Genomic DNA, 15,502 nt, shown 5'->3' on the forward strand with positions numbered 1-15,502 from the left:
AGAGCTGCCCAAACATTTGGAGCCTATCCTTTGCACCAGTGTGCCCTGGATGTGGGACCTAGTCAAAGGAGATTCTTTTGGAGCTTTAAGATTTAATTACAGCCCTACTTGTTTTCAAACTTGCACAAGGCACACAGCGTCTTTTCTGTTGGCCAATTTCTTCCTTTTAGAATGGCAATTTTTACCCAATGCCTGTACCCCCATTGTATCTTGAAAGTAACTAACTTGTTTTTGATTTTATAGGGTCGTAGGTGGATGAGATTTGCCTTATCTCAAATGGGACTTTGGACTTTGGACTTTTGAGTTAGTGCTGGAAAGAGTAGAAACTTTGAGGAACTGTTGAGAAGTCAGGATCTTATTTTGTAAAGAGAGAAGATCATAAAATTTAGCAGGGACCAGGGGCAGAATACTATAGTTTGGATATTTATCCCTGGTCAAATCTCATGTTGAAATATAATTCCCAATGTTGGAGGCAAAGCCTGGTGGGAAGTGTTTGTATCATGGGGGTGTATCCTTCATGAATGGCACGGGCCATCCCTTCGGTAATAAGTGAGCTCTCGTTCTTGAGTTCACCAAAGATCTGGTCATTTAAAAGTGTGTGGCACCTCCCCCAACTCTCTCTCACTTGCTCTTGCTTTTGGCAAGTGATGGGCCTGCTACCACTTCAACTTGCATCATGATTGTTAAGTTTTCTGAGGCATCTCTAGAAGCTGAACAGATGCCAGCACCATGTTTCCTGTAAAGCCTGCAGAACCATGAGCTAATCAAATTTATTTTCCTTATAGATTACTCACTCTCAGATATTTCTTTATAGTAATGCAAGAATGGTGTAATACACCATAGGAAGTTGTGGCTAAGTGCAGTATCACTAGAACTAAAGTTTGGATATTACACCCTTACCCTGCCACTTGCAAATTGCAGAATTTTGTAAAATTTATCATCTTTCCAATGCTTGATTTTTTTATAGGGTAATTATAAGAAATAAAAGGAGTTAATGCTTATAAAGCACATAGAATGCTACCTGGCTTCTAGTAATCATTCAGTAAATATGGAGGATCAACATTATCACTAGAACCAACCAAAGATTCAGGCATAATCTTAATGGCAATTAATTTATGATGTTGCGAATCCCGTTCCTATCTCATAGTTTTCTTATATTTAAGAACAGTACTATTTTCTCCTTTTTGTCTAATAATAATAACTGGGAACAAAATTATAAAATCAAATTTAGTCTCTGCCATTTGCTAAATCACTTTCCTCAGCTGATAAATGAAAAAGTAATTGTAACTATTACTTAGTGGAGATTAAATGTTTTTATTTACTAAAAGCTTCTAACAAAGGGTTTGGCATTATTCAGGTTGAACACATGTTCAATTTCATTATTATTGTTACTCCAACATTATATATTGAAATTTCTGAAAAGCATGTAAATAAATACACAGATACAGCTTTATATAACAGTTCATGTATCAGCCTATATAAAATTTTCCTCTGAACCTAATTCTTAATCCTAAAGCCTATCAGCCTAGAGATTTCTTCCAGGATTCTCTCAGATACTTCATAGTGAAGTATTTATAAGAAAATTAAATATTTCTACTAATAATTTTGACCTTTTAATGTATAATTTTGATGTAGGTGTGAGTGACAGGCACAAAGGGGAGAATGGGGCAGAGAACTTTATCCTGCTGCATTGTAAGTATTACTTCTAATATTAGCATCATCATTGCATCATCATAATTATTTTATCCTTTTCTCTAAAATAGCTAAAAGTTGGGCTTAATCCTGGGACGTTTTTCTTTATTTAGTTTCTCTAACTCAGTGATCTCATTCAGTATCATGAGTATAAGTTATATCTATATGCCAATGAATAAAAAATTATAGCTTTTTCTTAGACACTCTAAGTGCCAGAATAGAATATTGTATTAAATATCTTCATGCTTAACGATGGAATATCATCATTTGAAATGTAGATATACTTGGATGATTTTTCTCTTGGCAGCCTTATAACCATCTCAAAGTCTCAAGCATAAGACACCCCAAACAGAATTCTGTATTTCCACCATATCACCAATACTTTTTACTCTTAGTTTTTTTATTTATCCAAATGTAAACTAAAAAATCTCAGAATCATCATTGATTCTGCTTTTACCTGCCTTTATTTTACTACATTACCATCATTTTGCCATTTTGCATTAACTTTGAGTAATAGCTTGCAATTTACTACTTCTTAGTATCTTTCTTTTCTATTACTACTGCCACTGTAGTTTCAGTTACCAAAATCTGCTTCCTGAGCTAATGCAAAGGTTTTCTTACTTGTCTCCTTGTTTGTGTATTTGTATTCTTTCAAACAGAAGCCAGAGTAATTCTTTGAAAACAAGTCAGTCTATGTGACTCTTCTACTTAATTTCCTCCAATTATTTCTCATCGCATTGAAATAAATTTCAAATCTTTAATAAAAGTTACATGATCTGGCATTACCTGTCCTCTGGGTATATCCCCATCATTTTTCTTTTCACTCATTCTCTTCCATCACATCAAACTGGTGTCTACTTGTACTTTAGAGCTATTGTATCTGCTGTGCCTCTGCCCAAATCGATATTCCCCCAGATAGCCTCATGGTTTTGCTACCTGTAGTTATCCACATATCTGCTCAAATATTACCCTATTGCATGGGTTTTTTTTTTTTCCTGACTACTCCATCTTAAAAAGAATCCCCCATCCATTTTTATATAGCCCAGTTTTTCTTCGTAGGACCTATTACTTATACTATATTGTTACATATAATAATTTGTATCTGTTTATTCTCTATGATTGCCTACAAAAATGAAAGCTCCATGATGAAAGAGGATTTCTCTGTTTTGCTAATTTCTAACTAACCATTACCTAGAATAATGGCTGAAACATAGATTCCAAACAAATGTTTTTATATATAAATTAATTAACTTTTGCTGCTTTCTCATTGCCCATTGATAGTGCTGCAGTTTGCTCAACCACTACGATCTTTGAAAGGAGAGAAAGTTTAATAAGTCCCCTCACCCTTTTGTGTTCTGGGAAACAGACAATGCAAAGAACAATATTTCCCATATGATTTTCCCTATTTGAGTTAAGACTCGAAATGCCTGTTTGTTCTTCTCTGACAAGGCCAGACAGACTGTCCAAATTCCCGTTCTTTGCCTCATCCATGATTAACTAAACTGTTTGTCACCACTGAACAATTGGAATACAATGCTGATTATAGTGATTTGATCAAAGTTTAGTAAATCTTTCTTTCCTTAGACCCTAAATGTTGATGCACCCTCAGTGTGAGCCATGTAGTTTGTCCTTACAACCTCTCAACAAACAACACCTTCTTACTGCCCCCTCTAGGAAATAGACTGACATCAGGGTAAAGCATTCTATGATCTCCAGTGCGATCCACCAACCCTATGCTTTAAACCCACTTCCCCACACTTCATTCTACTTCCTTTCACTTGGTTCTTTCTACCTTTGTTTACTCCTCTCTAGAAAAGAAAATCCCTTCCCTATCTGACTTTTGAGACACTTGCAGGTCATGATCAGTGTTCTCCTTTTTGCGATAGTCCTATTCTCCTCTCTTGCAGCAATTCTTTAGAATAAAACCTGACTTTAAGTCAATCCAAATTTTTTTAATGTAGGATGCCATTATCTCATGACTGGCCATTCTACCCTTGTCTCTACAGAATTCATTGGCTACACAGCAATTGGAGCAATTTTCTAAAATGACATAAATTCAACCATATGATTGCCTTACTTACAGCCTTCCAATGACTTCCATTGAATCCAAAATTCTTAGGATTATGTACAAAGATCTAATTTGTCTACTTCCTTCCCCAACTCTGATAACTCCGTAGAATTTAGTTGCATATTTCAGAACTCAAAGCTACTAACTACTTTAAATTAATAAGATTTTATGATTTATGTTTGGTTTTGGAATGTTTTTGAGATATTCTGTAAGATTCTTTCACAGATTAATAAAATGTTTTTTGTATATCTAAATATATACATATCCTTGTATATCTATTATATCTATCTATCTCCTAGTATTTTCTTTTTAACTAAATTAGTTCAGATTTTTAAAATAAGTCAATTTATACAATTAAAATTTTTAGGTTATGTAAAATATATTTAGAGAAAAATATTGCTTCAACCTTTATATGTATGTATCCCATCCACTTGCTCTCCAGGTGCTTTTATTATTGTTACTATTATTATAGTGCTTATTTTTCCAATATTTATTTGCATAAATTTTTAAAAATAGGCTATTGTCTCTTACACAAAATGTAATATTACATATACACTATTTTACAGCTTGCTTTTCCCACTTAACAATAAATCCTAAAATATGTTTTTTTCCATATACAGAATTTTTTCACTTTTAAAAATATAGAGCTGCCTGGAGTTCTGTTTTGTAGGTAACCATAGCTTACTTGATAGTAAAATGAATTAGATTCCAAGTTTTGCTATAACAAAGTATGAAAGCATTGTTTTTTTTTAAATGACATTTTAATCATAGGCAAGGGCATATGTATGATTTATCTCATGACTGTAATGGCCGTGTCAAAGAGTAAAGGCCTTTCTAATACAAGTAAATATCACCAGATCACCCTCCATTTTACCATTTTGTATTTTCCTCACAATGGAGGAGAATTTCCTCATGACTTTACTACTAGTGTTTTGTCAAAAGTTTAGCATTTTGATTAGTTTGGTAGAAGAAGTTACACCTCACTGTAAACTCAAGAGAAGTTGAGCATCTTTGATTGTGTCACATTTATTTTATTTTTATTATTTATTTATTTATTTTGAGATGGAGTCTCGCTTTGTCTCCCACTCTGGAGTGCAATGGCTCAATCTCGGCTCACTGCAACCTCTGCCTCCTGGGTTCAAGCCATTCTCCTGCCTCAGCCTCCTGAGTAGCTGGGATTACAGGCATGAACCACCACGCCCGACTAATTTTTGTATTTTTAGTTGAGACAGGGTTTCACTATGTTGGTCAGGCTGGTCTCCAACTCCTGATGTCGTGATCCACCCACCTCGGCCTCCCAAAGTGCTGGGATTACAGGCATGAGCCACCATGCCCAGCCTTATTTTATTTTTCTATGAACATTGTTTCCTTGTGCTTTGCCTTTGTGTTTTCTGCTTTATTCTCAATTTAGAGATCTCTTGATGAAAACAGGAGATTAGCCATATGTTTATGATATATGTTGCAAATATTTTTTGTCAGTTTTCTTTTTAACTTTGTCTATGGTATAATTTGCAGGCAAAACTATTTTTCTTGTTGTGTTATTTTTACACATTCACATTAACCATACTTTCTTTTATTGTCTCTTGATTTTTAAATTCATCATTAGAATGTTTTCTACCTTTCCAGCTTTAAGGGAATTCACCTATTTTTTTTTTCTTAGCACCTATATTGTTTCATTCTGTACATTTAGTTTGATAATGTTTTGCAGGTTATCTTGGTGGATGGTGTGAGGGAGGAATTACTTAAATTTATCTGTTTTTGTAACTTATAGTATGTAATCTTACAAAGGTTTAACACATAACCTTATGTGTTAAACAGTCCATAATTACCCTCCACTGTTTTGAGAAGTCAACATACACATTCTATAGTTATTTGGGTTTATTTCTGTCTTTTATGTTCTACATTTGTATCACCATACAAATGAATCCATATTTGTATCACCCACTTTTTAAGAGTACTTTTTACAATTAAAGAAGTAATTATCCCCTTTTTTTTCTTCTTCAAAGCTTTATCTTGCTATTATTGCTTCTGTGTGAGTGTGTGTGTGTGTGTGTGTGTGTATCTGCATTGGCTAGTTGTGTACATGTAAACCTTGTAACCAGAATTATTAAAGGGAATGGTCCATAGAGAGAATGACAATGGTGGACTCTCAGGAAATCAGGAAGGCACATTCCCCGTTGTTGGAACTAAGTTCCTAGCAGCTTATTCATGATACAGGATCAATAAATTGCCACAAACTTTGACTCCAGGAATAAATATTTTATTTTTTTTTTAAATAAGGTAGCTATCACCTGCATTGGTAGTCCAGAGACACATCACACCTTCTGAAACCCACATTTATTAAACCGTGTGCTTCTTGGGCTGGCTTCTTCCACTTAACTCAGTCCTTCACTCAAGCCTTTGTGAAGGCACTAATTGACAAAACCTACATTCCACCTAGATACAGAGCTGCAAGAGAATATGGTAATATTTTATATTTTTCTATCTCTGAAGTGAAAGAAGGCACACTAGCAGAGGCTAGAATTGATAAAATATTAAATCAACTCTATCTCACAATCTTACCTGTACATTCATCTCTTTGAGCATCCTAAACATATTTATTTTAAAGCCTTTGTTGGTTCCATAACGATAACTTCACTAAAAAGAACACTTATTCTGATTACTCATTTTGGTTATCTTTTTTGACATGAGTTTTATTTTTAATATGTCCTCAAGTTTTCATAAGCAGGACAGTTTTGAGTGGATAATTTTATTTTTCTGTATAAGTCTTCCTTTCTTTCTCTACCAATGCAGCAGTTTTCTTATGTTTTGTGCATTTACTCTTCGTTTCTAAAAATTTTTACAATGGTTCCAGAATCTATGTTTTTATTCAACACCTACCCCAAGATGATACTACAGATATCCCAGATATAGTTACTAATAGAAAGGACACTTTGCCTCTACATTTCTTTGTGACTTCTTGCCCACAGCTTCCTAAGAAGCCATGGATCCAGAAACAGGGTTTTAGTGAGATACTTTAGCTTTTTTCATGTTTTCTAAACATTAACTTCAAGAGGTGAGCTTTCGACCTCTACATAAGTTAGAAAGCATTAGTCTCTATGAATATGCTGCATTTGAAATCTTAGTCACTGTTACCTGTCTGGACTGGGACCTAGCAGACCCACACAGATCACTGTTTTGTTTTTCCATGAAGTTTCTAGTACTCAGAGAGGTTTCTTTTCTTTAAGGACATTTATGTATATTTTGTTATCACTATTTATATTTTCTCTATTGTTGCTATCTGTTTGTAGTAGAGAGACTGTATATGTGTAGCTGTGAACTTAGTATATACTATTACCAATCAAAAGAGCTAGATTTGAAATAAAAATATTTCTAGGCAAGGCACTCTTTAATACTAGCTTTTCCCCCCTGCTTCATCTATACAACCCACTCAGTTTTAAAGTTTTTTGACATATTCTTTGATGCCCTCCTGATTTTATGATGGGAATACTTTTTGTCTGGAAAGGTTACTCAACAATAACTTTTCAAACTGATATCGAGCCCTGTGAGTAATTTGAACAAGAAATAAAGTTGATTCTATCTATTATTATCTAAGACATTTTATAGATCTGGTGATGTTGGTGGATGCTGGTTAGAACAGTTATTTGTCTTATTTATATAGCCACAACATCACAAGCTTGGATGTTGATCTGATAATGACAGAGAAAGGCTGCAGAAATTGAAGGACATGTTTGAAATGAATGAAGCACTCAAAAAGCAAAAACTCATGACTATATTACCGGAGGAGGGAATGAGGTGGACCAGCAAGTGATTTCTGACCAGTTTCTAATTTCAATTTTAACCACATTAAAGAAGCTCTTCCTTCTTTCCTAGTCTAATTAAACTTATGCTTCCCCCTCCTCCATCCCCTTAATTTACAGGGCTGGCCTTGAGAACTCTAGTAAGCGGCGGGTGAAAAGCTGCTAAATAAATAGAGCAGCTCTCCTCACTATAGGAACTCACTATAGTCAGGGATTTTACTTGTTTAAACTTAGATAATAAAAACAAATAGTCACCAAATCAAACAATAACTTTGCACTGGAATAGACTTTCCCCTAAGGTATTTCACAATATACATCTAAATAGCTAATATTTCATGCAACTTTTTTTCATTAACTTCTTCCTCTGAACAATCTACCGCATAACTGCAGGTACCCGAACAATTTTATATATATATATATATATATATATATACATACACACACATACATATATTTATATATTTACTTTAATCTATTACATTGCTTTTGAGAAAAAATACTGACATTTCTTTGAACATAATTCTATCTATGACTTTGAGAAAAATTAAAAATAAACACAGAAAATTGTATTTGATAAACAATTTTTTTTAGAAATCTATAATCTTGAATGGATTGTAGATCTACATAAGACAACTGTGAAAAATACAGATCTTGGGATCACTTGGTATTGGATTAAAATTCTGTCTCCATAACTGACTTAGGCTTTGTATGAATCATTCATCTCTAGGGACCAGTATTCTCATTTAGCTGATGAGAATAATAACCTATTCATACGGTTGTGGTGGAGATGAAAGCAAAATATCTAACATGGTTTATAGCCTGGCTGACCATATATCATAGTTTTCCCTGGAAAATCTGGATTGAAACCTTAATATTAACCCACATTCAAAATGTCATTTGTGCAATAAATTATAATAGCAATATATGCTAATGAATTCAATCTTAATAGTATTTTTGAAGTAATTAGTTCATTTCTGTAAGCAATTATTCATTGACTTTGATTGGCTATAAGATACCAATAGCCCCCAACTTACAATGGTTCTCCTTATAATTGTTTGACTTTATGATGATGCAAAAACTATATGCATTCAGTGGATCATGAATGAATTACATAAGATATTCCACATTTTATAATAAAATAGGCTTTGTGTTAGATGACTTTTTCCAACTATGGGCTAATGTAAGTATTCTGAGCATGTTTAAGGTAGACTAGGCTAAGCTATGATGTTTGGTAAGTTAGGTGTATGAAATGCATTTCAACTTACAATATTTTCAACTTATGGGCTTATAAGGACATAACTACATCATAAGATCAGGATATATAATTCCTTTCCATCTTTGGGAGTTTCTGTAGGTGCTAGTCACAATTGTATCAACAGAAAAGACATTGATTTTGACACAAAATATATTTAAATAATTCAAACCAAGGATATATTTGTTTTGTTATTACACACACACACACACACACACACACACACACACAAGAATAAATTTGGAGAAAAAAATGTAGAAATTTAATTTAGGTCTGTAACAAGACAGATTGTGAAACCAAAGCAGTTCACTATAAAATGAAAGCTTCAGGATAGATAGGGTCTTAATGAAAAATGTAATTCTGATATTATCCTTGATACTGTGATGTTTTTGATTCAAATTTGAATAATAAACAAAAAAGATGACTTTATAGGCTGATTTTTTTAGTAAATCAAGAAAGACTGAGCATTGTAGCATATTGCATCGCTAGAATATTACTTCTGTAATTCTTTTTTATTCCTGTAACTCTGAAGGTAGATGCCTTTGAATTTATATTCATGAAAAAGGAGTTTCAATACTACTCATGTAATGTGTCACTGCAAATATCAGAAAGACTTTGCATTTCTGGAATCTTACCTGGCTACTTCTTGTTAATGATGTATTCCTGAGAGACCATTTGTTTCTGATAAAAACGTATGAGTTTAAATTCAGATGATGTTCTTTGACAATATCTATCCATTGCCCTTTTGATGGAATAGCAATTTCGCAAAATTTAAAATTTTGGTCACATTTGTTCCCTGAAAATCTTGTTGATATTTGCTCCAGCCATCCTTTTGTGGAGAATGTTACTATGGAAAAGTCAGAACTAAGCCTGGTTTATCCTTCTTGTAGTTGACTTGAAGATTTGCTAGGTTGCCTTTGGGATTATTTATCTTTCAAGTCAATTAACTGCCCCAGGCAGTATGTCAGTATTGACTGAACTGTACCATTTTTTTCTTGAACTTTTAATCCAAAGATTTGTTTTTCTCCATTTTAGGAATGTCATATTGAAGTATATATTTGACTGCTTTGTTTCATTTGTTCTGTTTGTGGGGAATGTTAAATATTCATATTTTGAGTCATTTTTATTCTCTATTATCTATCAATTTCTTTCTAATTTTCTCCTAAACCATCTGTTCTTTATATGTTTTAGTATGCACACTTTTTTATAACTGTCATAATGTCATAAATAACTTCTTTGTTATATATAACTGTCATGCTGTCATATATAATAACTTTTTTTTAAATCTGTGTCTATTTTCTTTTCATATTTATCCAGGTAAGCTTAATTTCTCTGACCTTACTTTCTCTTCCTTATTTTAGCTCTTCCTGTTCAGTGATTACCTCCTTGTGTTACCATTTCATCCCAGAACTTTTTGTTTCTAAAGTTTGATAACATAAAGGACATTCTAAATATGTTTAACTCTCTATAATAATGTTTCTTTATATTTTTACTTCTTTTTGGCAATAATCCTCCTGGTGTGCATGTGTGTGTGTGTGTGCTTGTGCATGCACATGTGTGTTTTGTCATTTTATGGATATTTAGGGTTTTTATGCTGCCTCTATAAGAGGCAAAAGTATTGCTGTGTAGTTATATTGATTTTTTATTTGTTCATTTTAAATAAAGGGAAATCTTAACTCTTTTATTTTTAGAGAAATACATAAGGCAGGACCAGAGTAAATAAGTGGAGATAACAGAAATCTTAAGTAGTTGACAGACTGAGTTTTATGCTATTTTCTATGGAAATTACTTAGCAGTATATCCTAGGAGTGTAAATTTGTTCTAGGTATAAGCAGTCTTCCCATGCACACAGAGGAATCTTCTGTCAGACAGGTTTGTGTTTCACATGTGTGTGAACACATGTGTGTGTAGATCACCTCACACACACTTCTCTCAAACTGTTGGACATGTGACTGCTTTCCACCCACAGAACTTCCTCTACTTCAATACATCAAGAACCTAAATTTTTTTTAACTGTAACTGCTTGACTTGTTTTAATTTAGTCGTCTTTTTGCCATTTATTATATTAATGATAGGTATCAAGGTGCCTTCTATAACATGCAAATATGTTATTAATTTATTCCAAAATAGGGATTATTGGTTTTACCTGCTGTGCAGTAAAGTCCTAACTCAGCAGGCTTAGCGTATTCAAATTCTGCATGTTCGAAAGAAAGGCCTGGCCTTTGATCCACTCTTGCGAGATGATAACTTCTAAGTTCTTAAAATGATAAGTGTGTTTGCATACCTGTAGTCTTGGAACATACCAGGTAGTTTATGATAACAATGCACTTCATGGTGGAAAATTTGGGATACACTGTATCAGTTTGGTCTCTGGAGGGACTGAAGGGTGAAGACCCAGTAAATAGGATCAGTAGTAACACAGGCACTACATGGTTTTATAAACAAACCTTAATAATAATAAAAAAAAACCCTGGACACCAAGAGTCTGGTTAGCTTCCCTGGTTGGCAATACTATATGTGCTGTTACCCCTCACCGCTGGCAGAATTAAGCACTGTCTACATTATTCCAATGGAAAAAGATAATGGTAAGCTTCTGCCTATTCTCTCCTTGACTCTTTCCTATGTGTCTTTTCCTTTTTGCTGGTTTTTATCTGTATTTTTTTGGCTTTTGTTTGCAGTACAAACCCACAATTGTGAGTATAAACAGATTTTCTGAGTGATAACTACTTCTAGTGACTCATCCAACCAGAGGATGACCTTGGGGACCTATGGTACACCCACTGTGCATGCCCATTACTTTGACACAACCACTCCTTGCCATGTAAACCTGAGACTTCTGGGCACTCTTCCCTAGTAATTCGATTTGGCTGTACTTAGTGGCTTTTCTTCAGACATTCTTTTTCAGAATGTTTTGTTTCACTGCTAAAGATGATGCTCTGTAGATGTTTGTTGTTTTCAGATTGTGTTTGGATAATTTTAGAAAGGCAAGGTTCACACACAGAGGCATCTTTAAAAGTGAAACACAAAAATGGACTCTTTGGGATATGTAAAGCTATGATACCTGAAAAACTGGAATTTCTTATATAAGTATTAAAATATCTCCAATTTAAAAAGTTCAGTAATTGATTAATAATTCATCATCCTTTTAATAATTTTTTTAAATCACCCAGTTGCTCAAATTTGTGTAGAAGTTCACTGAAAAGCAATGTGCTGTTTATGACACACACACTCTAACATATTCACTAAGAGTGTTTTCTCTGAACTCAAATAACCTGGTTGAAAATTTTGTCTTTGCCATATGTTATCGCTGTAACATTGGAGAAAAACTTGACCTCTCTATACTTTAATTTCCTTATCTGTGAAATTAAGACACAGCTTATAAGTATTTTGAATTTGTTTAATGGGATGAAATACATATATGTAATACTAAAAAATCTAGGCATAGGATAAGTTCTTAAGAAATGTTGATTATAATAAAATTATTGAAGGTTTTCATTAATGACAGTCTTAAACCTAAAGCAAGCTATTTATGAAACTATCTAATCCAAATATCATTTTATCTTAAAAGCAGATATCTTTCCATAAAACAAAACATACATAGTTTATGATAATTATTTTATAGTACTTTTAAATTTATCAAAGTAATTTACCAACACATTATTGATGTGGCTCATCAAACTAATTTTTGAAACAAAATGTATTTCAATTAATCATAATGCCAAGATATTCTACTATTAGGACAACAAGAAGAAAAGTTAATTTTAGAACTTTAGAACAAGGGAAAAGTGAAAGTTAATATACTGTAAGTGACCACTTTCTCTGAAAGTCCTAGCGCCTCCCTGGGTGTTATTTTCTTATGACCACCGTCACTATAATGCTAGACTAATGTTATGATGATCACGGTTTCCAAAGCAATCCCCCACAACTCCAAGAACCACAAACAAAAAGCCAGCTGCAGACCTAGAGAGAGGTATACATAAACACCATGAGTTCCTAAATTCCCAGTTGCTTAATAACTGCAGTAGTACAAAGTGTTAATGGTGATGATGATAATTCATTCATGGAATCACAGTTAGTGGGAATACATGATCACGAGTAGACAAGAAAAGAAATATTTTTTTCTGAATTTCTGAAAGACAAAAGCTACTATTGTTTAATTTATAGTTGGAGTTATGATTAAGAGTTGTAAAATGATACAATGACACATACATAAACATTGTTTCAAGGTTCGTTGTCTATCATTTACTGGCTTTCTTCTAAGAAATTAGAAAAATGTTCATCATAGAAGATTCTATGCTTAGTCATGATAACTAAGACACATAAGTATAAGATTACCATTAATTCAGTGGCCCTCAACCAGAAATGATGTTAATATCTAGAGGTAAAGAGATGAACATGCCTTACCCCCAAGAAGCTTACAGCCTATCCGGGGAGAAAAACACATGGTTGGGCCAGGTGCAGTGACTCATGCCTGTATTCCCAGCACTTTGGGAGGTCGAAGCCGGCAGATCACTTGAAGTCAGGAGGTTGAGACCAGCCTGGCCAACATGGCAAAACTCCATCTCTACCAAAAATACAAAAACATAGCTGTGCGTGATGGCACAGGCCTGCAATCCCAGCTACTCGGGATGCTGAGGCGGGAGAATCACTTGAACCCGGGAGGTGGAGGTTGCAGTGAGCTGAGATTGCACCACTGCACTCCAGCCTGGGTGACAGAGTGAAACTCTGTCTCAAGAAATACAAAACAAAACAAAACAAAACAAAACAAAACAAAACATGCTTTCCCAAATGTAACTAAATGTTAAAGCTTTGATTCATAAAATAGAAACGTTTTGTTACTGTAGGAGTACAATAGACAATTTTAAGAGATTAGGAAAGATTTCGTGAAGAGATGGGTGAGGTTATTCCTGAAAGGTAAAACATAATCATGAATTACCATTACCAGTTAATTACCAGTTACCATGCATTATCAGTAAAAAAAAAAAAAAAAAAAAAGGCATTGAGTACACAAAAAACAAAGTGTCTGTAAGTTTTATACCTAATGGTGTACATTTCTAAGTAAAAAATAGCTACCATCATAATAATTACCTTTAAACATTCTAATCAATTTGAAAACTGATTTGACTGATTTTTCTTACATTGCTTGCTTAACAGTCCCAATGTCATCCCAGATTATAACAAAATTTATTACACTGGTGTCAGTAAAACTATCTCAAATGGCCCAAAGTAAAAACAAAAATTTGAGATATTAAATGTTAATTTTTATTAGCACAAATGTGAATTCAATTAATGGTTTTCTTTTTTAAAATAAAAGCAGAAATATTTGTAAGATACAAAAAATGGAAAATAGAACATAATGTAGATTTACTTAGGCATTACAAATTTTTGAATACCCATGAAGTATTGAAGGGGTTAAAACTGTAATTGATTTAAACTTTCTGTTATATTTCTGTAGCTGTAATAGTTTTCAATATTTCAAAAATAAAATCATACTAATTTTGTTATGTGTTATTCTATTGTACACCAGTTTCTGAGAGAAAACATGATTGTATAGCCAAAGGCCTTTAAAATTAATTCATCCAGGTAAATTTTCTTTGTATATCATATTAAATATGTAATTTGCAGCAAAGGACAGGTCCTTTTGGGTTTAATCTGAACTTTGAATTTTGAATCTCAGAATAAAATTTATTTGAGCTGAATCTTACAAATCAAAATATCTTCTACATGAACATGGAGAATATAAATATAAATGCAAAGATATTTGTATTATATTTACAAAAACGTTCTTTGACCTCTATTTAGTTGTGTAGAATTGATATTCTGAATTATACCTGCCAGCCTTTGGCACTGATGAGAATTCTATCTCAAGGATATAATAGGCTAATGCCTCATGACAATAGGGCAAAGGATTAGAGTCCTATTGGAGATTATGTATTTGTCAGTTTTGTGCATTTAGTTTGAGCAATGTGTGGAAGAAGTAAAATGTGAATGTTCATATGTTGTGCATAGCTCATACTCAAACTACAGTGAAAATGTAATAAAATTTGTTCCATGAGTACATGCCTAATTTGTGTTTAAACCTGCATAAACAATTTATGATTATGTCAGTCATTATACAAGAGTCAATCACATAATTTCATTGCAGTTTTTCAGTCTAAACAGCTTTGGTAGAGACCGTTTGAATTGCATCTCTACGCTCTTTCTACCCAGGACCCCTCCATGAGCAAAGCTGCCCCTTGCCCAGTTTTTCCCATATCACTCAAAATTCACTGCATCAGTCTCTTACTTGCAGCTTTTTTAGGGGGAGGACAATTCCAGTAGGCTCCTAAATCGTTTGCCTGTTTCTACACCCCACATGGCAGCCGGAGTATACGTTTATAAATATAAATGTTCACTCCTTTGCTTAAGACTTGCCATAGGATTTCCAATAAAACAGGAATAAAATTCAACTGTTTTCTTCACTTCGGTCTCAATTGTCTCAATTCTCCAAGCTTATTTCCTGTTACTCTCATCCTCATGCTGTGTTCTAGCCACCTGCAGTCGCTAGCTATTTCTCCATCTTGCCCAACTTGCTCCCTCTCTTGCGGCTCTTGTAGGTGCTTCCTGAGTTTCTGAAACATTCTTCCCTAGATCCTCAAGAAACGTCTCATATTTTAAAACTTTGAACAATTGCCATCTAATAGAGAGGAG

This window comes from Homo sapiens, chromosome 13 (assembly GCF_000001405.40).
Source record: "Homo sapiens chromosome 13, GRCh38.p14 Primary Assembly".
Lineage (NCBI taxonomy): Eukaryota > Metazoa > Chordata > Mammalia > Primates > Hominidae > Homo > Homo sapiens.